Source organism: Homo sapiens, chromosome 18 (assembly GCF_000001405.40).
Source record: "Homo sapiens chromosome 18, GRCh38.p14 Primary Assembly".
In the NCBI taxonomy this organism is placed as follows: Eukaryota; Metazoa; Chordata; class Mammalia; order Primates; family Hominidae; genus Homo; species Homo sapiens.
Window position 1 is genome coordinate 49,468,614 of NC_000018.10, and position 24,442 is coordinate 49,493,055.

At 43.4% G+C, this 24,442-nt stretch overlaps 3 protein-coding genes, 4 non-coding genes and 1 pseudogene across 24 annotated transcripts, besides 4 other annotated features; 2 read left to right on the plus strand and 6 right to left on the minus strand.

The window, feature by feature from the left end:
* On the plus strand, positions 1,127-1,803 carry PRR13P4 (proline rich 13 pseudogene 4; annotated as a pseudogene).
* Positions 8,630-18,621, minus strand: C18orf32 (chromosome 18 open reading frame 32). Of its 2 annotated transcripts, none has more exons than NM_001199346.2 (3): positions 18,594-18,621; positions 14,971-15,158; positions 8,630-13,797 (listed from the first exon to the last, which is right to left on the minus strand). In NM_001199346.2, exons 2-3 carry the CDS (start codon positions 15,133-15,135, stop codon positions 13,732-13,734), a joined length of 231 nt encoding a protein of 76 aa, NP_001186275.1. In that variant the 5' UTR covers positions 15,136-15,158; positions 18,594-18,621; the 3' UTR covers positions 8,630-13,731. The 2 variants fall into 2 exon arrangements, with proteins under 2 accessions (NP_001186275.1, NP_001030177.1); NM_001035005.4 differs by having other exon boundaries at positions 18,430-18,621.
* Positions 12,565-23,852, minus strand: RPL17-C18orf32 (RPL17-C18orf32 readthrough). 2 transcript variants are annotated; one of them, NM_001199356.2, is made up of 7 exons: positions 23,845-23,852; positions 22,919-22,971; positions 22,180-22,314; positions 21,841-21,939; positions 20,746-20,937; positions 14,971-15,158; positions 12,565-13,797 (listed from the first exon to the last, which is right to left on the minus strand). In NM_001199356.2, exons 3-6 carry the CDS (start codon positions 22,279-22,281, stop codon positions 14,979-14,981), a joined length of 573 nt encoding a protein of 190 aa, NP_001186285.1. In that variant the 5' UTR covers positions 22,282-22,314; positions 22,919-22,971; positions 23,845-23,852; the 3' UTR covers positions 12,565-13,797; positions 14,971-14,978. The 2 variants fall into 2 exon arrangements, with proteins under 2 accessions (NP_001186285.1, NP_001186284.1); NM_001199355.1 differs by lacking the exon at positions 23,845-23,852 and adding an exon at positions 22,792-22,832.
* Positions 18,350-18,479: a silencer, noted in NCBI's record as "silent region_9449". NCBI's record gives its function as "represses an Ori minimal core promoter by ATAC-STARR-seq in GM12878 lymphoblastoid cells {active_cell/tissue: GM12878}" and the evidence as "EXISTENCE:reporter gene assay evidence [ECO:0000049][PMID:35858748]".
* Positions 18,520-18,679: an enhancer, noted in NCBI's record as "active region_13309". NCBI's record gives its function as "activates an Ori minimal core promoter by ATAC-STARR-seq in GM12878 lymphoblastoid cells {active_cell/tissue: GM12878}" and the evidence as "EXISTENCE:reporter gene assay evidence [ECO:0000049][PMID:35858748]".
* On the plus strand, positions 18,760-18,809 carry MIR1539 (microRNA 1539). Its single transcript, NR_031720.1, has one exon. It is a non-coding gene; the product is annotated as a microRNA 1539 (primary transcript).
* RPL17 (ribosomal protein L17) lies at positions 19,868-23,852 on the minus strand. 16 transcript variants are annotated; one of them, NM_001369558.1, is made up of 8 exons: positions 23,845-23,852; positions 23,207-23,220; positions 22,919-22,971; positions 22,792-22,832; positions 22,180-22,314; positions 21,841-21,939; positions 20,746-20,937; positions 19,868-19,953 (listed from the first exon to the last, which is right to left on the minus strand). In NM_001369558.1, the coding sequence occupies exons 3-8, from the start codon at positions 22,956-22,958 to the stop codon at positions 19,906-19,908; spliced, it is 555 nt and encodes a 184-aa protein (NP_001356487.1). In that variant the 5' UTR covers positions 22,959-22,971; positions 23,207-23,220; positions 23,845-23,852; the 3' UTR covers positions 19,868-19,905. The 16 variants fall into 16 exon arrangements, with proteins under 16 accessions (NP_001356487.1, NP_001356485.1, NP_001186269.1 ...); NM_001369556.1 differs by having other exon boundaries at positions 23,133-23,220; NM_001199340.2 differs by having other exon boundaries at positions 23,123-23,220.
* Positions 20,622-20,711, minus strand: SNORD58C (small nucleolar RNA, C/D box 58C). Its single transcript, NR_003701.1, has one exon. It is a non-coding gene; the product is annotated as a small nucleolar RNA, C/D box 58C (small nucleolar RNA).
* On the minus strand, positions 22,670-22,734 carry SNORD58A (small nucleolar RNA, C/D box 58A). The gene has a single exon (NR_002571.1). It is a non-coding gene; the product is annotated as a small nucleolar RNA, C/D box 58A (small nucleolar RNA).
* Positions 23,051-23,116, minus strand: SNORD58B (small nucleolar RNA, C/D box 58B). The gene has a single exon (NR_002572.1). It is a non-coding gene; the product is annotated as a small nucleolar RNA, C/D box 58B (small nucleolar RNA).
* Positions 23,246-23,866: an enhancer, noted in NCBI's record as "NANOG-H3K27ac-H3K4me1 hESC enhancer chr18:47018229-47018849 (GRCh37/hg19 assembly coordinates)". NCBI's record gives its function as "activates a minimal SCP1, AML or CMV promoter by ChIP-STARR-seq in naive H9 embryonic stem cells {active_cell/tissue: H9 hESC(naive)}" and the evidence as "EXISTENCE:reporter gene assay evidence [ECO:0000049][PMID:30033119]".
* Positions 23,758-23,807: an enhancer, noted in NCBI's record as "active region_13310". NCBI's record gives its function as "activates an Ori minimal core promoter by ATAC-STARR-seq in GM12878 lymphoblastoid cells {active_cell/tissue: GM12878}" and the evidence as "EXISTENCE:reporter gene assay evidence [ECO:0000049][PMID:35858748]".

Sequence of the window (24,442 nt, forward strand, 5' to 3'; positions counted from 1 at the left end):
CACTTGAGCCCAGGAGTTCAAGACCAGCCTGGGCAACACAGCAAGATCCCGTCTCTAAAAACAAACAAACAAATAAAAACACAATACTTGTGACCTACTCTGCACTGCCCATGGTTTTGCAGAGGATGGGGGTCAGGATGTCTAGAGGAAAGAGTATTGAACGGCAATGACTCAAACTTCCAAGCCCTCTTCTAGGTCACCATGTGACTTAGCTGTTTGACAAGATCACTGAAATTGCCCTTTCAAGAGCTACTAAAGTGTCAGGGGAAGAGATTCGAGTAATTTGTTGATTTAGCATTATGGTAATTTCTTATTGTACTGTGTTTTTTTCTGTTTAGTTCCAAAACGTTTAGCAACTGTACCCTCCAAGGCACTGTGGGAGGTGGCAAGATAAAGACAGCACTGTCTACAAGGAGCTCACCATCCTGTGAAAGACACAGCAGGTAGCCAGCTACCTGTAGGGCAAGGTCACCCGGATAAGAAGTGTTGTACAGAGCTTGCAGAAACAAGGGCAAGAGAAGGGGAGGAAGGGAAGGCTTCCTAGAGGTGTGGTACTTCAATGGGGCCAACTCATCACAGGTTATTTTGCCTCCTACAGGTGGCAATGAACCCCCAATAACACATAGCCCTCTTCTGTTAAAGACCACCAGAATACACAACTTCTTAAAAAAGAAAAGCTAAATGAGAGATTCACCAAGGATAGAGGCTTTTCCTTTCACATAATCATCAGAATGGAGCAGAGGAGGGTAAGGAAGACCTTTTACTTTTTGCAATATACAGATATTTCTGAATTATCATTTTTTGAGAGAACATTTAGTGTTCATTCCATAAATATTTAAGTATCGACTCTGAACCAGGCACTGCTATAGGTGCTGGGGATTCAGCCTGTACTATTATTATAATAAAAATTATAATAGAAACACTGAGAATAGATGACAAATGATTAGGCTTTGAAACAGATTGCTTGAGTGTGCATGACTGTCATTGATATTGATTTATTTTCCTTCAGATTGTTTAAAGTCTATCTTGAACGTCAACAATTAAAAAAAAGGCACCATTAAAAAATATCCAAATGAGGGGTCAGGAAGGATTTTTATACTATCTGTATTTTAAAAAATCTTCTACAGAGAACACATCAAGCCCAGGCAGTGGTGGAAAGGTGATGGGGTTGAAGGACACACCTAAACATGTGGAATCCCAATGCCAGGCAGCCAGGGCCAAATCCATATCCCCCCAACATCGGGTACCCTGGAGGTTCCAATCCTGCCCACCCACCACCTGTCAATCTACCCTTTCCCCCAGGCCCCTTTCCTCCTCCCTCAGGAGCTCCCCAGGGCAATCCAGCTTTCCCCCCAGGTGGACGCCCTCATCCTGTGCCACAGCCAGGGTGTCCAACCTTCGGGTCCCTACCTTCCTCCATACCCACCACCTGCCCCTGGAATGCCTCCTGTGAATCCCTTGGCCCCTGGCTTGGTTGGACCAGGAGTGATAGTGGACAAGAAGATGTAGAAGAAAATGAAGAAAGCTCATAAAAAGATGCACAAGCACCACAAGCATGGCAAGCATTCCTCCTCCTCCTCTTCCTCCTCCTCTTCCAGCAGTGACCCTGACTGAATACAGGCCCTGGACCCTTCCCTCAAGTCTCACCAGTTCTGCTCTCCCATCAAGCATCAGATGCCATGTTGTACTGGGGGAAAGTAGCCCTTGTGCTCCCCCCACCACCACCCCGCAAGCCTCACCCTGCTGTTGAGCCCTGAGTGGCGAGGGAAAATGGGAAGAGGATTGCCATGGCATGGCCATCTTCTTGCTGCTTGGATAGATCACATAGCTAATGAGTTTAGCAGGGGAGCCATTTTTTGAAGATGATGAACTAAATGTTGAAGACAAGTTAAAATAAATCTTCTACAGTACGAATATATTAATGTATTACTTGCAGAATAAAATTAAAATTTAGGAAAGATGTGTTGGTAAGTTAAGTTTTAGAGAGCTGATTATGCTGCTGTTGTTTCTTTTTTTAATTATGAAACATACCATAAATGAAAAGACATATATAACAGATGCACAATTTAAATTTTTTTTTTAAATTTCAGTAGTTTTAGGGGTTCAGGTGGTTTAGGGATACATGGATAAGTTCTTTAGTGGTGATTTCTGGGATTTTAGTGCACCCATCACCCGAATGTACACTGTGCCCAATGTATAGTCTTTTATTCCTCACCCCCTCCCAACCTTCCCCACCAAGTCCCCAAAGTCCATTATATCATTCTTATGCCTTTACATCCTCCTAGCTTAGCTCCCACTTAAAAGTGAGAACTTACAATATTTGTTTTTCCATTCCTGAGTTACTTCACTTAGAAAAACAGCCTCCACCTCCATCCACGTTGCTGCAAAAGACATTATTTCATTCCTTTTTATGGCTGAGTAGTATTCCATGGTGTATATATACCAAGTTTTCTTTATGTACTCATTGGTTGATGGGCACGTAAGTTGGTTCCATATCTTTGCAATTGTGAATTGTGCTGCTATAAACGTGGGTGTGCATGTCAGACACACAGTTTAAAGGATAATACCCTCTAACATTCTGAGGCTAAAAACAATTACCCAACTAAGAAATAAAATAGGAACAATATCCTAGAAGCCCCCTCTGTGCTGATCCTGGGATCTTCTCTCTCTCCCCAGAGATAACCACCATCTTGACTTCTCTAATAACTCTCTAGATTTTAGAAATTATTTTGCTACCTTTCTATGTATCTCTAAATAATGTATTATTTAGCTTTGTCTGTTTTTGAACTATATAAAAACAGAATCATTCAGTATGTATTATTCTATGACTTCCTTTTTTCCTCTCAAAATTCTTTTTGAGATTCACCCATGTGGATGCATGCATGCATCTAATAATTCAGTTTTTAAATTAATTTATGTTTTATTCACTTGCTTTGGTAAGCTGATGAATGTTAAGGGTATATCTAACATTTGTATGTATTTATTTGTGTAACCACCACTGACATCAAGATAGAGAACATTTTTAGCACCCTAGAAAGCTCGCTTGTTCTTCTTTCCAATTACTATCCCACAGAAGTAACCACCATTCATACCTAAGCAACAAACATTAGTTTTGAGTTCTTTCATTTTTCACTGCTGCATAGTATTCCAGTATATGCATATTTTATACATACATACATACATACATATATATGTATATATATATTTTTCTAAGCCAGAGTCTTGCTCTGTCACTCAGGCTGGAGTGCAGTGGCACAATCATGGCTCACTGTAGCCTTGAACTCCTGGGCTCAAGTGATCTCCCACCTTAGCCTTCTGAGTAGCTAGGACTCCAGGCACAAACCACCATTCCTGGCTATATTTTGTAAATTTGGTCATAAAGTGATTGCTGATTGGCTCTTGGATCTCTGGATGAGGTTAGCGAAGCAAGCTTACCTCCATTATTTGATTAACCTAAAATGACATAAGTCTACAGTTTACACAATGGTATTTTTTGAAACTCACTTAAAACATCATAACAGAGATTTATTACACCAGTTTATTTAATCCTTCCTACTTTAGAAGGACTTTTTTGGGGATGTTGTTTTTTTGGGGCTAACACAAACAGTGCTTCCAAGAATATTCTTCCACCTGTCTCCAGGTATACAGGTACATTATTTTCACTGGGATCCACACTCTAGGAAGGAATGGCTGGATCACAGTGTGTTTTTGTTTTTGTTTTTGAGACGGAGTCTCACTCTGTCATCCAGGCTGGAGTGCAGTGGCACTGTCTCAGCTCACTGCAACCTCTGCCTCCCTGGTTCAAGCGATTCTCCTGCCTCAACCTCCTGAGTAGCTGGGATTACAGGCACCTGCCACCACATCTGGCTAATTTTTGTGTTTTTTGTATTTTCAGTAGAGATGGGGTTTCAACATGTGGGCCAGGCTGGTCTCGAACTCCTGACCTCAATTGATTCACCCACTGAGCCTCCCAAAGTGCTGGAATTACAGGCATAAGCCACTGCGCCCTGCTGTGCATGTTTAACTTTACCAGATAATGCTGACAAAGCAGTTGTACCAATTTGCACTCCCACCAGCAGTACACGAGAACTGCCTCTGCTCTTCATCCTCCCAACCTTTGATATTTAATCTTAACCATTCTGGTGGTTTCTCATTAGGGTTCTAATTTGCATTTTTCTGATGAAACCTGTGTCTTCATATTTATGCACCTGTCTTCTTTCCTCTCCTATGTGAAATACACTATTTATTTAACTGTCTTCCTCATGCCCCCTCCATCTGAAATGATTTCTAGTCATCCAATTTAGGGTCAGAAAAGACTATGCTGAGTGGCTGTCTAAATGACAAGAAAATAAAATCTCCAGAGTTTAAAATCAATAAAGCCTAGGGGCATTAATAGATGGGAACTATGAGATTCCAATCCTCAGCGGGTTCCCAAGTAATTGAAGGACTGGAATAGTTTGTCAGCAAAGGGGTCAAGTTTGGTGGGCAGACTTCTAAGATAGGCCCCTAGATTCCTGGACCTTGAAGTACAGGCACTTTCTCCCAAACACCAATCAAATACTCATCTAGGCTGGGCGCAGTGGCTCATGCCTGTAATCCCAGCGCTTTGGAAGGCTGAAGCAGGTGGATCACCTGAGTTCGGGAGTTCGAGACCAGCCTGGCAAACATGGTGAAACCCCGTCTTTGCAAAAAATACAAAAATTAGCAGGGCATGGTGGGGCACGCCTGTAGTCCCAGCTACTCGGGAGGCTTAGGCAAGAGAATCTCTTGAACCGGGAGGCAGAGGTTGCAGTGAGCCGAGATCTTGCAACTGCACTCCAGCCTCGGTGACAGAGCAAGATTCTGTCTCAAATACATAATTAAATAAAATAAAAAATAAAAATACAAAAATTAGTCGGGCATGGTGGCACGTGCCTGTAGTCCCAGCTACTTGGGAGGCTGAGGCAGGAGAATCACTTGAACCTGGGAGGCGGAAGTTGCAGTGAACTGAGATTGTGCCACTGCACTCAAGCCTGGGCGATAGGCTGGACAGACTCCGTCTCAAAAAAACAAACAAAAAATGAAGAAGAAGGAGGAGGAGGAGGAGGAAGAGGAAAAGGAAGAGGAAGCAGCAGAAGCAGAAGGAAAATACTCACCTGGTTGCTGCTGTGAAGTGATTTTGCAGATACTGTATAATTAAGGTCCCAAATTAGTTGACCTTGGGAGGTTATCCAGTCATGCCTGATTTAATCACTCTGCCCTTTAAAAGCAGAGGATTTTCTGGCTGATCCCAGAAGATTAGAAGGCAGAAAAATATGCTCCAGATGAGTTGGAAGAAAGGGAACATCGATGTGGGGAGCTGACCTTGGAGGACACGTGCTAAGGAACTGCGAGCAGCTTCTGGGAGCTAAGAGCAGGGCCTGGCTGACTAGGAGGAAAACAGGACTACAAGGAAATAAATTCTGCTGACAAGCTGTGAGCTTGGAAGACCCCTGAGCCCAGATGAGAACTGCGGACCTGGCCTGCATCCTGATTTTAGCCTGGTGAAACCCTGAGCAGAGAATCCAACTAGACCATACCAGGACATCTGACCCCTAAAACTGGGAGGTAATAGATTTGGGTTGCTTTAAGCCCCTACATTTGTGGCAATTTGTTATGCAGCTATAGAAAACCAATGTACCAAGGAATTCCGGAACTACACCTGCTGAATTATCAAGTCAGGAATAAGACCCTTGTGTAAAGTATAGACCTAGGGGAATCTTTGACATTGCTGTCAATGTGTATGGTGCCTTCTGAAATTGGGCAGCGCACGCTTAGCCCCACTGTACACAGCACCCTTGCAGGAAACTTGGCTCATGCCCTGTTACAGCATCTGGGCTACCGCTTTTAACCTTTTTAGCCCTTAGTAAAAATGACAGGATTGGTTTGAACGTACCCTAAGGTCCAGACCAGCTCAACGTTTGAGCATTTGGTATATTTTGTGAATCGTCTACCACATGCCAGCCCTTCACAGTTCATCTATAGTTGTTACTTTCTCAATTTCACCCTCTCCTTTCACTTGAAAAATCTGAAATTTCTTTACATCCTCAATTTAAACTTACCGATATTCAACTCTCTGCCCAAATGCCTTCTGCTCTTTTTCTTCAAACCTTCCATGCTGTCAGTTCATAAGAACAAGTTTGCCCATTGTCTTCTGTTTTCTGTTATTAGAACTGAGTATCTGAAACTGGGTAGTTTATAAATCAAATTTATTTCTTAGAATTACGGAGGCTAAGAAGTCCCAGGTCAAGGGGCTGCATCTGGTGAGAGCCCTCTTGCTGGTAAGGACTCTGCAGAGTCCCAAGGCAGTGCAGGACATCACATGGCCAAGTGTGCTAGCTCAAATTTTTTCCTATTTTGTCACCCAGGCTGGACTAGAGTGCCATGATCACAGGTCACTGTAGCCTCAAACTTCTAGGCTCAAGTGATCCTCCCACTTTAGTCTCCTGAGTAGCTGGGTTTACAGGAGGGTCCCACTACACCTAGATTATTTATTTATTTATTTATTTATTTATTTATTTATTTATTTATTTATTTTTTGAGACGGAGTTTCGCTCTTGTTGCCCAGACTGGAGTGCAATGGCATGATCTCGGCTCACCGCAACCTCCGCCTCCCTGGTTCAAGCAATTCTCCTGCCTCAGCCTCTCTAGCAGGTGGGATTATAGGCATGCATCACCATGCCCGGCTAGTTTTGTATTTTTAGCAGAGACAGGTTTTTCCATGTTGGTCAGGCTGGTCTTGAACTCCCAACCTCAGGTGATCCGCCTGCCTTGGCCTCTCAAAGTGCTGGGATTACAGGCGTGAGCCACCGTGCCTGGCGATAATTTATTCTTAATTTTTTGTAGAGACACTTTTTTTTTTTTTTTTTTTTAATGAGAAGGAGTCTTACTCTGTCACCAGGCTGGAATGCAGTCACGTAATCTCGGCTCACTGCAACCTCCAGCTCCCCAGTTCAAGCAATTCTCCTGCCTCAGCCTCCTGAGTAGCTGGGACTATAGGCACATGCCACCCCACCCAGCTAATTTTTTTGTATTTTTAGCAGAGATGGGGTTTCACTGTGTTGGCCAGGATGGTCTCGATTTCCTGGACCTTGTGATCCGTCCGCCTCAGCCTCCCAAAGTGCTAGGATTACAGGCATGAGCCACTGCGCCCTGCTGAGACAGGGTCTTTTAATTTTTATTTATTTTATTATTCTGAGACAGGGTTTCCTTCTATTGCCCAGGCTGAAGTGCAGTGGCGTAATCATAGCTCACTGCAGCCTCAAATTCCCAGGTTCCAGTGATCCCCTTGCCTCAGCCTTCCAAGTAGCTGGGACCACAGGCATGCACCACTATGCCAGGCTAATTGTTTCATTTTTATGTTTTGCAGAGATGAGGGTCTCACTATGTTGCCCAGGCTGGTTTCAAACTCCTGGCCTCAAGCACTCCTCCTTCCTTGGCCTCCCAAAGGGCTTTAATTATAGGCGTGAACCACGGTGCCCAGCCTTTTCCTCTTTTTTTTTTTTTTTTGAGACGGTATCTCACTCTGTCACCTAGGCTGGAGTGCACTGGTGCAATCTAGGTTCACTGCAACCTCTGCCTCCCGGGTTCAAGCAATTCTCCTGCCTCCGCCTCCCGAGTAGCTGGCAGTACAGGTGCATGCCACCACACCTGGCTGATTTTTTTTTTGTATTTTAGTAGAGACGGGGTTTCACCGTGTTGCCCAGGCTGGTCTTGAACTCCTGAGCTCAGACAATCCGCCTGCCTCGGCCTCCCAAAGTGCTGAGATTACAGGCGTGAGCCACCGTGCCCGGCGCCTTTTCCTCTTCTTATAAAAGCTTCCAGTTCTACTCCTATGATAACCCGTTAAATCTATTAACCCACTAATCCATTAATCCATGAGTGAATGAATCTATTCATGAGGGCAGGGCCCTCATGACCCAATTACCTTTTAAAGGCCCTACCTCTCACTACTGCCACATTGGGGATTAAATTTCAACATGAGTTTTGGAGCGGACATTCAAACCAAAGAACCCATAGTCTTTGCTTCTTTATTAAGGAGCTGTCGCCATGTCAATAAATTTAGCTTTGAGGTTAGAACAAGCAAGTAGCTCCCTGTGGAGGAAACCATAAGAAAACTTCCATTTCCTCTTTGATTACGACTGAACTAGACTTAAGATCAGTCTCTGCGCCAGGCGCAGTGGTTCATGCCTGTAGTCCCAGCTACTCGGGAGGCTGAGACAAGAAGATCACTTCAGCCCAGGAGTTTGAGCCTGCAGTGAGCTATGATTGCGCCACTGCACTCCAGCCTGGGCAACAGAGTGAGACTCTGTCTCTAAAAAATAATAACAAATGAAAAGATCAGCGGTTGGAGTTTCTTTTTAATCCAGGCATTCTGTCAACATGCCAGTTCTGAATGGTCACTTTAAGGAAGTGCTGAGTCACCTATGTTTCCTAAGAAGGCAGCCTAGTAATGGAAAAAAAAAAAAAAAAGTGATGAAACCCAAGTTTTAGCCTCAAGTAATTACCTGAGAAAATGAGTCTAACTCATAAAATGAGACGGGAAATGCAGTTAAAATTCATAAAGCAAAAATAAGTTGTTGAAAAGTAGGTAAATTAAAAACTCAAGATACAAGGTTAGCAAAATTAACTTTATTATTATTTATTTGAAACGGGGTATTGCTCTGTTGTCCTGGCTGGAGTACAGTGGTGTGATCTTGGCTCACTGCAACTTCCGCCTCCTGGACTTAAGCGATCCTCTCACCTCAGCCTCCAGAAACTTTAAAACAAGTTCACACATACTGATTAATCTAAACTCACCCTCTCCATTTCTGCCTAATTATTCCCAATAAGGTATTACTAACAATTAAGATATTAGTAGCTGTGGCAGCCGGGCCCAGTGCTTATGCCTGTGATCCCAGCACTTTGGGAGGCCAAGGCAGGCAGATCACTGGAGGTTGGGAGTTTGAGACCAGCCTGACCAACGTGGTGAAACCCCGTCTCTACTAAAGTACAAAATTAGCCGGGTGTGGTAGCACGCACCTGTAATCCCAGCTACTTGGGAGGCTGAGGCAGAATCGCTTGAACCTGGGAGGAGGAGGTTGTGGTGAGCAGAGATTGCACCATTGCACTGCAGCCTGGGCAACAAGAGCGAAACTCCATCTTCCAAAAACAAACAAACAAACAAAAATATATATATATACACACACTATATATATATACACATATATATATATACACACACTATATATATACACACTATATATATACACTATATATATATACACTATATGTATATACACTATATATATATACACACTATATATATATATACACTATATATATATGTAGCTGTGATGGCTCCTTAGCATGAAAGTATGACCTTGAAATCTTAGACTTGTCATTTACATATTTAAACTCCATTATTCTTTTTTTCTTTTTTTAAGACAGGGTCTTGCTCTGTTGTCCAAGCTAGAGTGCAGTGGCTTGATCACAGCTCACTGTAGCCTTTAACCTCCTGGGTTCAAGCAATCCTCCCACCTCAGCCTCCAGAGTAGCTGGGACCACAGGTGCACATCACCATATGCCTAGCTAAATTTTTTAATTTTTGGTGGAGGCGAGGTCTCCCTATGTTGCCCAGGCTGGGATCCTGTTTTTCTTTTTCTTTTCTTTTGAGACAGTCTTGCTCTGTCACCTAGGCTGGAGTGCAGTGGTACAATTTCAGCTCACTGCAACCTCTGCCTCCTGGTTTCAAACGATTCTCATGCCTCAGCCTCTGGAGTAGCTGGGATTACAGGTGTGTACCACTATGCCCGACTAATTTTTGTATTTTTAGTAGAGACAGGGTTTCACCATGTTGGCCAGGCTGGTCTTGAACTCCCGGCCTCAAGTGATCCTCCCACCTCGGCCTCCCAAAGTGCTGGGATTATAGGCTTGAGTCACCGCCTCCGGTGGATCCTGTTTTCTTGACTGTATTTCAGGTTTATGCAGACCAGGTAGGTTTGTGTGTGTGAAACACCCATGAACAGTGCAGGTACAATGTGTTTAACAAAGGGTAGCTCTTACTAAAAAGGCAGCCCTGACCTTTACACAGACAGATGTTGATATTTTAGGGCAAAGAAACATTTGTGTGGTATCAAACAGTGGCTACCAACTCCAGCCCATGGATAACTGATAAAAGCTTTTAACAATTAGCCTCCAAAATAAGAAAAATATGAACAAAATAGTGAATTTTTCATAAAATTAACACTTTTCATACGCTTATTCAAACTGATGGCTATTTTTGTCCACTATTCCCATGTTCTTTTTCACTCTTCTGGTGTCAAACTGTCTTTTACGAAATACTGGTAATAAATTGTAGCTTTTTGATATACTCCTGCTTGGAAAAATCAAAAGTTGGCAATTGCATACTAGCCACCCCTATCCTGCTTTTAAAATGTTGCTAGTATGAAAACAACGACTGGGAACCAGTGTTCTAGAGAGGGAGACTTGTTAGAAATGAGAAAGGCCTTAGGAGACCCGCAGCTCTCTGGAAAACAGGCTTAAATAAATTGGAATCATCCCGGGGACACTTTCCAAAATTATCCATACTCAACCTCCTAAAAGTATTGAATTAGAAAACTGCTGTGCTACAGAAAAAATGAGGGATAAACCAAGAAGGAAGAGGATAGGAAATCCAGAAACAAGACGTCCAATACAGGAGGGTGGCAACAGAAAGTCCCGAGGACTGCAGTGTGCACCAGGTCTAGGCAACAACTAGGCAGGAGAGGTGTATGGGGAGAAGGTAAACTGGTCACTCCAGGAAGACACCACCTGTATATTAAAAGGGACGCAATCACAGTGCATTAACCTGTGCAGTGAGCAATAGTATTCTCCCAGGCAGTGTCCCAGCAAGCCAGATAGCACTCTTGAGAGGAAGCAGTAGCCCAGAGCCAGTAACAGAAATACCACCACCCCTGGGCCCAAAAGGGCAGGGTGAAGGACAGGTTAGGAAAAATAAAAGAAGTCAGGTGGAGTTGGCTGCCTGGAGTGTTCCTTGAGGCACAGTGACTTCTGGCTGAGGAACAGTTGGCCTGAGGTGACCTTGCAGAGAGAGGGCCAAGGGAATAAACACTCTGCCTTCATTCTCCTCCCTCCAGCCATCTCCTGCTATGGATCGCTATTGGCCAAACCCAGCAGAACCCAGAGACATGGGAAGTCTGTTGATGTCTATACAGCTTCCTTGGGCTGAAAGCAGGATGAGGGGAGCAGAGACTTGGGAGGGGCAAATGAAAGACACCTGGCACACTCATGCTATGAACACTGATGATGTAAGCAAAATTTACAAAAGCACTTGGGAGGATGTGTGGGAGGAGCAGAGGCAGTGTAAGATAGCGGCATCTCAACCATTATGGGAAACAATGTCTGAAGTTGATGGCTCAAAATATAACAGTATAGCCAGGCAGTGGCTCATGCCTGTAATCCCGACACTTTGGGAGGCTGAGGCAAGAGGATCACTTTGAGGCCAGGAGTTTGAGACTCGCTTGGGCAACAGAGCAAGACCCCGTCTCTACAAAAAATTAGCCAGGCGTGGTGGCACACACCTGTAGTCCTAGCAATTCAGGAGGCTGAGGTGGGAGGATCACTTGAGCCCAGGAGTTGGAGGCTGTAGTGAGCTATGATGATGCCGCTGCACTCCAGCACCTGGGTGACAGTGAGACCCTGTCTCAAAAAATAAAATGTTTATATTTTTATATTTTTATAATTTATTTATAAATATGGAGATAAATTTAAAAAGCCCACAGCTCAGTAGGTAAAACCTTTGAGGAGCAAAGAAGTAGGGACAATTAGAAACGTTGCAATATTACTTAATTTTTAAAAGATGATGTGTGGGCCAGGTGCAGTAGTAGCTCATGCCTGTAATCCCAGCACTTTGGGAAGCCAAAGTGGAGGATCGCTTGAGCCCAGGAGATCGAGATCAGCCCAGGCAACATGACGAAACCCTGTCTCTATAAAAAAAATTACAAAAAACATTAGCTGGGCATGGTGGTGTGCACCTGTAGTCCCAGCTACTTGAGAGGCTAAGGTGAGAGGATCACTTCAGGACTGCAGGTCGAGGCCATAGAGAGCCGTGATCATGCTGCTGCACTCCAGCTTGAGTGACAGAGTGAGACCCTGTCTCAAAAACATAAATAAATAAAAATGATGTGCATATTTAAGAACAAATTAATTTTCAAAAAGTTGCTAGAAGGTTACACACAAAATCAACTGGGGCGGACTCTGGATGCACTGCCTATGAATTAGCCTTGCTCCACAAGGAGCAGCACTGTTCAGGAAAAGACTACTGTCTAACAAAAACAAACCATACAACAACAACAACAAAAAAACAATTGGTTACCTCTGTGGAGCTGGAATAAGGGAATGAGAGTTGAGAAAAAACATTCGCTTTTCATTTAGGATCCTCTTGCATTGTTGTACTGTAAATATCTGTTATTTTTATAATAGTATTTATACCTTAAAAAAGTTTATTTGCTAATGAGAATTTATCTTATCCCTCAGGTGGCTTTGGACAGAAAAGCTGAGACCTGCTGATTTACATGATTTATATCAAATAAAGCCCAAGGTAAATCAGTGACTTGACCAGCCACAGAACTTAATAGAGCCTGAGTTAGGACCCAGACTTCATTAGGGACCCAAGGGCAGGAGTTCCTTTTAATCTTTCCCAGCTTCAGAGTGAATACAAAAAATATATAAGGATGCATCTCATCATCTTTGAATATTTATAGGTCCCTACACTGAATTTTCAAAGCCCAAGATAAAAATCACATAGCGGCCCAGGTCCAGACCCAGGCCCAGCCAGCCATATGAGTGAGCCCAGAACAGCAAAGAACTGCCCAGTCGAGTCACTGCTGCTGAAAACCACTAAATTTTGGAGTGTCTTGTTACGCAACAATAGTAATTGTTGTCCCACCACTACACAGATGCCATCACAACATCCAAATTCTGCCTTCTGACGTGGTGAAAAATTTCCCTTTTGAATATTTCAATAGACTTTAAAAGAAAATGAACTACCAGTTAAACTGAATGTTTAATACATTTGTAGGAACAGAAGAAATGCAGTAAGGATTAAAATTTTATAATTAGACATTAATGTAACAGATGTTTCATTTTTCAAAGAAGTTTCCCCCTTTTCCCTATCTTTTTTTAATCTTCCTTAGAGCAATAAATAGTAATTACTATATTTGTGGACAAGCTGCTCCACTGTGTTGGACAGTAATTATTAAATCTTTATGTTTCACATCATTATTACCTCCCAAAATTCTACCTTCATTTCCCTGCACAGTTTCACTGGACTGTTTCACAACAAAATTGTACTCCACTCAAATTAGAAGAGCCCAAAGAAATTAGAGCAAACAGCAAATTCATATGAATTAGAGAACCAAAGATTTTAAAGTGCTGATTTAGTAACATAATGTCTACTGGCACAAACCTTCTATTTAATCATATTATTCAAACAGCAATAACAGAAATGAAAGCTACATTAACGAAAAAGGAACTTAGGAATGAGGTCATTAAATATAACTAACTACATTTTAAATACGGATATCATATATTTCCTGATTAGTATCAGGTAAATATCTAGACTCCTATCCTGAATTCCGGTCTCAGATAAAAAGGTCAGAGACAATTACAAGGAAGATGCTTCATATTATCAGGTCCATTTTTTAAATGATGGGGTCCTTTAGGAAAATTTCTTTAGTCTTTCTTTTTATCACAGATTTCTGTTGGTCCTTTTGTTGGTAATCCATTCATGTCTGCACCCTAAAATGAAAAAACATTTTAGAAATTATCATAACAAGCCGGGTGCGGTGGCTTATGCCTGTAATCCCAGCACTTTGGGAGGCTGAGGCAGGCAGATCACGAGGTCAGAAGATCGAGACCATCCTGGCTGACATGGTGAAACCCCGTCCCTACTAAAAATACAAAAATTAGCTGGGTATGGTAGCATGTGCCTATAATCCCAGCTACTCAGGAGGCTGAGGCAGGAGAATCGTTTGAACCTGGGAGACGGAAGTTGTGGTGAGCCAAGATTATGCCACTGCACTCTAGCCTGGTGACAAAGCGAGACTTCATCACAAAAACAAAAACAAAAAAAAAAAAAGAAAGAAATTATTACAACAAAAAGATATTAAGAGACATTCTGTCTCTCTCTTTTTTTTTTTTTTTGAGATGGAGTTTCATTCTTGTCACCCAGGCTGGAGTGCAATGATGTGATCTCGGCTCACTGAAACCTCTGCCACCCAGGTTCAAGCAATTCTCCCACCTCAGCCTCCTGAGTAGCTGAGATTACAGGTGCCCACCACCGCGCCTCACTAATTTTGGTATTTTTAGTAGAAACAGGATTTCACCATGTTGGTCAGGCTGGTCTCAAACTCCTGACCTCAGGTGATCAACCCATCTTGACCTCCCCAAGTGCTGGGATTACAGGCGTGAGCTACCGCGCCCAGCTCAAGAAACATTCTCTTTAAAAACAGACAAGCTCCAGAGTGAAAACATTTTGCTTCCAGAAACGGGCCGGATGGCTAAATTAGTGCAGCTGAGTACAAAGCTGAATCTAAAAAAGCACCAATTCTAAAGACAACAGAGTTGTCCACTCATTTTTAAAAAAATTGTTTTTTTTTTAAATCTCTATGATCCTTCTAATTAAATCTCTTATCAAAGTCATCAATCAGTGAAACTGGTTTGTATCAGCATAATCTCTCCTCATCCATTAGCTATTTACCATTGCACTTACCAGTCAGAAAATATGGTTATCATTTTGGCCAAAGGACAAATGCATTAATCAGAGGCCTACTTTAAAACTTTAATTTAAGCCAAATGTTACACAAACTATTGAAGCTTCTGGTTCTAAAACTTGTCCTTCCAAAATCTAGTGTTTCACCCAAGTACCACCCCCTTTCACTGCTCTTATTCAAGGCATGTGAATGTTCTTACCTTAAAGTTTACTTTGCCTTTGTTTGTATCATTGGATTCTTGTATTGCTTTCTTAGGCCATATACGACTAACGAAGGGGGAAACCAGAGGGTATATATATGGCTCCAGGAATTTTTTGTAGATCCAGAGCAGAACTGGAATGACGATACAAGGAATGCACACCATTTTCCCAAGCTTGAGCTCCTCAACTGTTGATATATGTGAAGAAAAAAATTAGTTCATCACAGATTAGTAACTGAAAGAATTTACCAAGATTAAGATATCTGAAAGGGGATAGATGTGGTGGCTCACGCCTGTAATCCCAGCACTTTGGGAGGCAAGAGGATAGCTTGAGCCCAGGAGTTTGAAACCAACTTGCACAACAAAGTGAGACCTTGTCTCTACAAGATCAAAAAATTAGCTGGGCATGGTGGCATACTCCTGTGGTCCCAGCTACATAAGTGGCTGGGACAAGAGGATCACTAGAGCCCAGGAGGTTGAGGCTGCAGTGAGCCGTGTTCATGCCACTGCTCTCCAGCCTGGATGACACAGAGACACTTTGTCTCAAAAAAAGAAAAAAAAAAAATATATATATATATATATATACACACACACACACACACACACACACACACACACGAAAGGACTATTTCTACAGTGTAGGAAAAACTTAAAACATACTATTATATTTGCTAAAAAAAAAAGACTTTATTAAATAAAAAGCTGCTATCTACAAGGTAAAGAAATAGGCCAGGTGCAGTGGCTCATGGCTGTAATCCCAGCACTTTGGGAGGCCAAGGCGGGTGGATCATGAGGTGAGGAGTTCGAGACCAGCCTGGCCAACATGGTGAAACCCTGTCTCTACTAAAAATACAAAAATCAGCGGGGTGTTGTGGCATGCGCCTGTAATCCCAGCTACTCGGAAGGCTGAGGCAGAATTGCTTGAACCCAGGAGGCAGAGGCTGCAGTGAGCCGAGATCCCACCACTGCACTCCAGCCTAGGTGACAGAGCAAGACTCCATCTCAAAATAAAGAAATAATAGGTGGTAGGCATGAATAATAATGAGGTGCCTGCTTCCAAACTTCCAGTCACTGCTCCTTAATCATGAATTTGATTATAAAGGAAAAACAACAACATTTGGTAGGTGCTAGACAGTTTACATATAACAACTCATTTAATCCTCAATCAGTGAGGTTGGGTACCCTTGCTACTATGTCTATTTAGAGTTTAAAAAATGAGCCGGGTGTGGTGGCTCACACCTGTAATCCCAGCACTTTGGGAGGCCAAGGCGGGCAGATCACCTGAGGTCAGGAGTTCGAGACCAGCCTAACCAACATGGTGAAACCCCGTCTCTACTAAAAACACAAAATTAGCCAGCCATGGTGGAGCAGGCCTGTAATCCCAGCTACTCGGGAGGCTGAGGGGGAAGAATTGCTTGAACCCGGGAGGTAGAGGTTGCGGTGAGCCAAGATCATGCCACTGCATTCCAGCCTGGGTGACAGAGCAAAACTCCGTCTCAAAAAAAAGATTTCTTATTTTCAAAATACTGCAAATTAAGTAGCATCTGCTGGCAACTGAGTCAGCACCATCACTATGCTTAGACATTTAAAAATTATTCACAATACAGGTAAACGGTGGCATAGAGAATCAAATCTGAATGTCTTTGAAATGAATTACAAGCAAGAGCTATAAACAAAAATGTAAATTGAGGCTGGGCGCGGTGGCTCACGCCTGTAATCCAAGCACCTTGGGAGGCCGAGGGGGTGGATCATCTTAGGTAAGGAGTTCGAAACCAGCCTGGCCAACATGGCAAAACCCTGTCTCTACTAAAAATACAAAAATTAGCTGGGCGTGGTGGTGGGCACCTGTAATCCCAGCTACTGGGGAGGCTGAGGCAGGAGAATTGCTTGAACCTGGGAGGCGGAAGTCGCAGTGAGCTGAGATTGCGCCATTGCACTCCAGCCTGCGTGACAAGAGCAAAACTCCGTGTCAGAAAAAAAAAAAATAAAAATAAAATAAAATAAAATCAATTGCTGGGGCAATAGTGATTTTTTTTTTTTTGAGACAGGGTCTTGCTCTGTTGCTCAGGCTAAAGTGCAGTGGCTCAAACATACCACCTGTGTTCAGAGTTCACTGCAGCCTTGACTTCCCAGAATCAAGCTATCCCCCTTCCTCAGCCTCCTGAGTAGGTAGGACCACAGCCCTGCGCCACGATGCCCGACAGATTTTTTAATTCTTAGTAGAGATGAGGTCTCACTGTGTTGCCCATGCTGATCTTAAAGTCCTAAGCTCAAATGATCCTCCCGCCTAGGCCTCCCAAAGTGCTGGGATTACTGGAACCTGGCCTAATTTTTTTTTTTAAATAATTAGCAAGGTGTGATGGCACGCGCCTGTAGTCCCAGGTATTTGGGGAGCTGAGGAAGGAGAGAACCGCTTGCGCCCAGGAAAGCCGAAACTGCCGTGAGCTATGATGGCCCACTGGACTCCAGCCTGGGCCACAGAGGCAGACCCTGTCTCAAGATTAAAAAAAAAAAAAAATCCAAAAGTTGTAACCTGTCCAAAGTTCTCACAGAGGTAACTGGTAACTAGAGCTTCTAAGACCATTATTTCCAGTTCTGGTTTTCCTCAATGCTCTTGCCTTTTCCTCTTCCAAAAACACAATGGTCATGTTTTTACCAAACTTTTACCAAACTTTCCAAACCAACGAAACCCCTTCAAAACAACTGACAATGCTACCAGTACTAGTTTAGTGACTGACAGGCCCTCCATCATAAAGATTCATTTTTACTTCTGCAATTGTGTTTTAAGTAAGTTCGCACACAGTACGATGTACATAAACTCTCGAGGACAAATACTACTAATCACTTACGCCACAATTACGGCTTTTAAGAGACTTTTTAGCTCTCTTCGGAATGAAGCCTATTTGTATCTTATCTTTTAATCTTCATAATAATACTTCGGTAAGATATTTTACTTCACACATATGGAAACTGGGTCAGAAAAGTCTAGAAGGTGGCTACGAGATATTATTATTTTAATTATTCGCTCCAAGCCAACAAAGCGAGCAAAACGGATTAAAGCTGTTGCAGAGGAATCTTCTTTCACTCAACTTAAGTCCAGACAACAGAGTAGACAGTTAAAGTCTGAGGCTCCATCCGAAATAGGGAAGGCATAACAGGGAAAGTCACCTTCCTCCAAGTCATCCAGTTGAGCATGTCATCTTAGTGGAGACAGAGGGAGCGGGGACAGGTTGAGTCAATGACAATGATTGAAAAGAGACGAGAACAGAGGCCTAACGGTGAAGGTCATAGAAAGGATGTGAAACCGATACTTGGCCACGGAAAAGAACAAAATCAATATAAAGTATCGGAGAGGCAAATGCAAGCTCCGAGGGCGCCGGTGGTGGACAAAGAATACAGACAGAGGGGAGGGGAGGGCGGGGCGGAGGGCGGAGGAGCGCGCTCGCGGAAGGAAGGTACCCTGAGAGCGAAGGCAGGCACCGCGGAGGCCGGCGGGCCGCGACCGCCGAGGAGGGAGGAGGCAGGAGGCCGCGCACCGCCTAGGACTCTGCGAGCGCGGCCCGGGCTGGGCCTGCGGAGCAGCTACAAAGCCCAACCCAGGCCGCTAGCCCGGGCACACTCACCCGCGACCGCGGAAACGCAGCTGACAATGTCCGCACTTCCGGAGGGAGGGACGATCCGCAGCCGAGCCAATGGGCGCCTTCAACGGGGACGACAAAGGCGCGCTTGCGTCAACCCGGGGTCGCACAGCACGCAGCAGTGTTGCCCAAGGGGCGCGGCGAGGCTTCCGGCTCTGCGGCCTGCAGGTAGCGCGAAAGTCCTGCGCGTCCCAGATGCCCAACTAAAAGCTTCGCTGCGGGAAGAAAGCCTGACCTGACTACACCCAGACCCAGAACGCAGGATCTCGGTAAAGGATGATGCCTGTGCAAACGGCGCGGCACCCACACGGAAGGTGGCAGCTAGGCCGTTGAGGCAACTGTGGATAAGCTATTAGTTTTGCTGGTTTCTTAAATTCAAGGGCAGAGCAAACTAACATTAAGGCCAACTTTACAAACGTCAGTTGCTTAAAAGAAGCAGTTACATCACTTTATAAACGAAAAGTACTGACGCTCGCTAGGATGTCAGTACGTGTTGGCGAAGTTGTGTGAAAACTGGGACCCTCATAAACCGTTGGTGGAAATGTAGCGTGCAGCCTTTTTGGAAATATTTGGAAGTTCCTCAGATGTTTACTCAGGTAACCTTATGATCTAGCAATTCCACTCTAGTATATACTCAATAAATGAAAACACAAAAATCTGCACACAAACGTTCACAGTACCATCGTTCCTAATAGCAAAAACAAAACCCCTTTATCAATTGACGAAATGATACAGGTTGAGCATCAACCTAAAAAGCTTCAAAACCTGAGCCTGAGTGCTGTTATCATACTCAAAGGCAATGCTCAATGGAGCCATTTCCAACTGGGGATGATCAACTGGTATATTCACATACTGGATTGTTCTGCAAAGAAAACCACTGCAAATTCCTTTTGGGATAATGAAACTTTTTTTGAGACAGGGTCTTGTTCTGTCTTGCCCACGCTGGGGTGCAGTAGTGCTCACTGCAGCCTCCCACCTCAGCCCCCCAATTAGCTGGGACTACATGCAAGTGACACCACACTTACTTTTTTTTAACAGACAGGGTTCTGACATGTTGCCCTGGCTGGGCTTAAGCAGTCAGCCTCCACCTCCCAAAGTGCTGGGACTACAGAAATGAGCCACTGTGCCCAGCCATGAAAATGGTTTTTAATGGTGCAGGGTAAACAATCTTGTGTTTCTAGTTCTAATCCTAAAAAATCCTCATTTGATCCATCTTGTAAGGACACTTGAAATATGTTCACTAATAAAGACAACCAACATTCTTTTCCTTTTAATTACATTTATTTTAATGCTGAATTTACTCCCGTGCCATAAGTTTTTGTTTCTTCAGTTTCTTCTGGGATATCTGGGGAAAGAAAAATGTGTTAAGTTTCTTAGAGAAAACCACAGTACATCTTGGAGGACTTCAGCTTATTCTGGAGGCAGGAAACCTAGTCGTTAAGGACTAAGGGGGAAAAATACTTAAATGGTAGAAATCAACAGAACTTAAGTTCATTAGATGTAAAAAGAAGTGTACAGAATCACTCAGGTTCTTGACTTAAAAGAACTAAATGTGATCAATTACTGAAAACAAGCTTCTTAGATTTGGGGAGAGGGCCCATTTTGAAGTGGCTATGTACATCTAAGTGGGGCCATCAGCAGATAATCATACGGGCCTGAGGTACTGAATATAAAACTACCAGTTTTTTTTTTTTTGAGACAGCGTCTCGCTCTGTCACCCAGGCTGGAGTGCAGTGGCGCGATCTCGGCTCACTCCTAGTTCCTCCTCCCGGGTTCATGCCATTCTCCTGCCTCAGCCTCCTGAGTAGCTGGGACTACAGATACCCGCCACCACGCCCAGCTAATTTTTTTTTGCATTTTTAGTAGAGACGGGGTTTCACTGTGTTAGCCAGGATGGTCTCGATCTCCTGACCTTGTGATCCACCCACCTCAGCCTCCCAAAGTGCTGGGATTACAGAAAACTTACCATTTATTATTAGTCAAGAAACAAACTTACAAAAGCCAAAATAAGACAGGTGAAAGGGTTGCTCAGAATAGTTTTCTTTCATAGTTATTCCAAAGGTGTCCTAAGATAGTCATCACAGCAACCACAAATCTTTCTACTATCACAAACAAAACCGAGCAACTACTTATTTACCTTTTTCTTCTGGGCAACCTCCTCTTCTGGTTTAGGAACAATCTGTTCCTTTTCCGTAAGGATCATCTCAATGTGGCAGGGAGAGCTCATGTATGGGTTAATCCGACCATGAGCTCTGTAGGTCCGGCGGCGCATCTTAGGTGCTTTGTTCACTTGGATATGCTCAATGACCAGAGAATCTACATCTAAACCCTGGGGAAGAAAGGAAGGAGAATGAAACCAGGAACATCCTTAATTAGTAAAACACCACAAACTATCATTGCTAAATATGAATTCCCAGGCTTGCTCCAGAGTCCTGCCTCAATGAAATCATTTTTAAAAGGCAATCCTTTTATTCTGCAAATAGCATTTTTTTAACCAGTTGTCTGCCTTCACCTTTACATGTCTAAATTGCCACCAAACTCAGTGTGCTATACATTTTGTCTATGAGTGGCCTTCCCAAAGATCCTTAGACGGGTGGAGAGCTGAGGGGTAAGGAAGAACCCAATTCGAAGTCTTGATGATAAAATTTCTCAGCATGGCTTAGAAGGTTTGGAGCCATACAGACCTAAACTAATTCCAGTTCTGGCCCAGACCTTCAAATGCAAAAGGCTAATGGGTAATATACAAAATGGAGAAATTTGTGTTTTGTCAACACAAGTTTGTCATTGTTTAAACTTTTTGAAATTTTAAACAATTTCTTTCTGAAATGCAACATGACTCTCCATTATGAAGGTAGGCCACAAACCACATTAATCACTGCTAAGGCAATCATTTTGATAATTAATCATACTACCAAAGGTGTATGTCACAAAAAGGGGTAAAAGCCCCTGGTAAAGTACCTCCAGTGTAAAAAGACAGCAGAAAACTAGAAATACTAAGTGTTAGGCTTAAAGAGACCACAGAGCACGCTTCTGGATCTTCACAGAATTTTGCCATAAAGGGACTCAAAAAAAATAAAAGGAAATAGTTTCATTCTGTGGAAACTGCAGGTAGAAATTTAAAAAATCCTAAGAGTTAATTACTGAAAACAAGAAAATCAAGGACATAAATCTGAACAGCCAACATTAATTAAACAACCACCCAAGTTGCACAGGATGTTAGTGGTTTGGGTACCTTAAGTTCAGCATTACTCTCTGCGTTTTTAAGCATGTGCAGCAAAAATTCAGCACTCTTTTTGGGCCACCGACCTTGTGTCCAGCCCCATTGCTTGGCCTGAAAGAAAATGGAGATGATGAGTCATTTTCCTTGATTTAAATTAACATTACAGCCAAGATGAATTTATCTGATATCACGGTTTCTTAGGATATGGTTTATTTCACCATCAATCCAAGGTGTCCTGTCATTACAGCAACCAGAAATAGGTTCATCAGCACAGATCTTAGCCATTCTTATCCTATCCCATCACTTTTCCATTAAAATCTGTCTTTTCAAATGGCAACTAAGAATTCTCACCTGCGCACACCTGCCAACTCCACCATTGTAACGTCGGAATGGTACACACTGTTTCTGTAAAGTGACATCTTTCAGATACTTCGTGGCTTTTCGTATATGCATACCCTTGATGGCCTGAGCAGTTTCACGAGTGTTCTAAGTATGAAGAATAAAGTGTTGGTTAACTAGATCAAAGCTTTAATTTTTAAAGTAAACGTTAAATTTTCAATTTTCAGCTTTTCAAAATGTCGAGTTATTTCTATTCTTTGGGGGCAAGGCAATTAAAAAAACTTGTGACTAAAAGCCAGGTAAACTTCGTTGAAGCTAGAGAAAACTCCAAAACTCCATTTATTCACTATAAAACGTTTAAATTCCATCATCATGTAATTACAATTAAAATGCCCCATCTTGATCTGCACACTAGGTTTTCAAATGGTTTTCTGGTACTACTTCTCAATTTCACAAACGCTACATCCTTACACCCTGATCATCAATGCCTAAATATAAGGTGGCTGCTCAGAATTTATTAATTTTCACGGTAAATCCAAAGGTGTCCTAAGAAAGTCATCACTGCAGCTACCTTTTTTGAGTGGAACATGAGGAACTGTTGGATCACAACTATGAATCGCATACCTTAAAGTGAACACGAAGATTGGAACCTCTTGATTTGCATGCTAGAAAATAAAACGTTTTGGTTAATTTTTGGTATCTTATGCCAAGCCCCAAGTAGGAAATGGGTATCTACCTCCTGTCCACTTACATTTCGTGGGGTTCTCCGGGTCAAGTGAATAGCGAACCATTTTCACAGATCACCTAGAGGAAAGTACAGTGTAATTCTGTCAATACGTACTTACAGTAACTCATTCAGTATAAATATCAGATGATTCGAACAGCTGCTCAGAGAGTAGTTGTTTTCATTATTAATCCAAAGGTGTCCTAAGAAATGCCATCATCGCAGCCATACTTTCCCCCACCAAGGGCTTGCTTTCCCTTTTATCTTCCAGTAACTACAGCACTGCTTCCACAGAAGTAGCCACACGGGCCTCACCAATCCAGTCAACCCTTTGGAAGAAAATACAGCCTGTTTCAATCCAATGCTGGATCTTCCAGGCGTAAAATGACTCGACGCATCCGCAGGGCACAACTCAACCGTAACCCTCTACACCTCCTCCCTCCCGCTCTACAGAAACCCCTTTGCTGTCAGGGCTGCAGGTAGTGAGTGCCGTCTCTCTCAACACCTTCGGGCTATGACCCACTTTAAGAGCCCTCCTGTACGCAACACTCTTGTAGTAACGTGTTACGCCTCCACCCGACTTTTCTTTCCCCCAAAACTTTTTCCTCGTTGCGGCCACCACTCACCACTAGACACCGGACCTCCGGAGTCCGCACGGACCCCAGGCGGCCCGCACCCCACGGCGGGCCGGCGCCCCCACCAGTGGAGGAGCCCGGTAGTCCCCATTCCCGCCCATCACGTCCCTCTGCGGACCTCAGAGGCCGACTGACCCCGGCTCCCAAAGTCAGGCCCTCCGCCACGTCCTCCCGCATAAGAAGCCACCGCCTCCAGCGAGGATTTAGTAGCCCTAGGAGTTCTCCTCCCGGGGGCCTGGAGGCCGGCGCCCCCGAAGCCAGGATGGCGGCGATGGCAGGAGGATTGGGCCCTCGGAGCAACGCAGGAGAAACACTCACCTCAGGCTGCTTAGGGAAAGAGGAAGAGCGGTGGATTTTGGGAGAACTCATGAGAACTTGACTTCTCGCGAGATTCGTAGCCGAAGAAACGAGATCTGAGGAGGCAGGAAGGCGGAAAGCGAAGGGAGTGTAGAATATGTTTTAAGAACGTGTGAAAACGAATTGCCTACTTAGGGACTGTCTCAAAGTTCTCTTTTTTGTATACAGAAATAAAAATTCAGGGTTTTAAATGTCAGTCAATTAAAAACAGGGTTGTAGTTCTAGGACAGGCTACGTATTATTAGATATGAAAGAAACATTTTATTTATTCGTCAACATTAGTTAGGTTTGATTATGTGGCCCTGTACTCCTGAAAGTGGTTTGTAAATGGCCAATTAAAAAGATGAAAGGATGAGACGTAATTATGGTAATCAGGAAATTCTCAGGATGGGAATGTCATCCAATCAATTGTATTATAACCTGTGTGAAAAATGCGCTAACTGAAGGGTCTGGTTCAATATCCTCGTTTTCCCCGCTGCTTCTAGATCTTCATCTGGAGGAGAAAACCTTTTGGCATTTTCTTCCCTTTTTTCCTTCCCCAGGTCATCTCTCTGGTTAT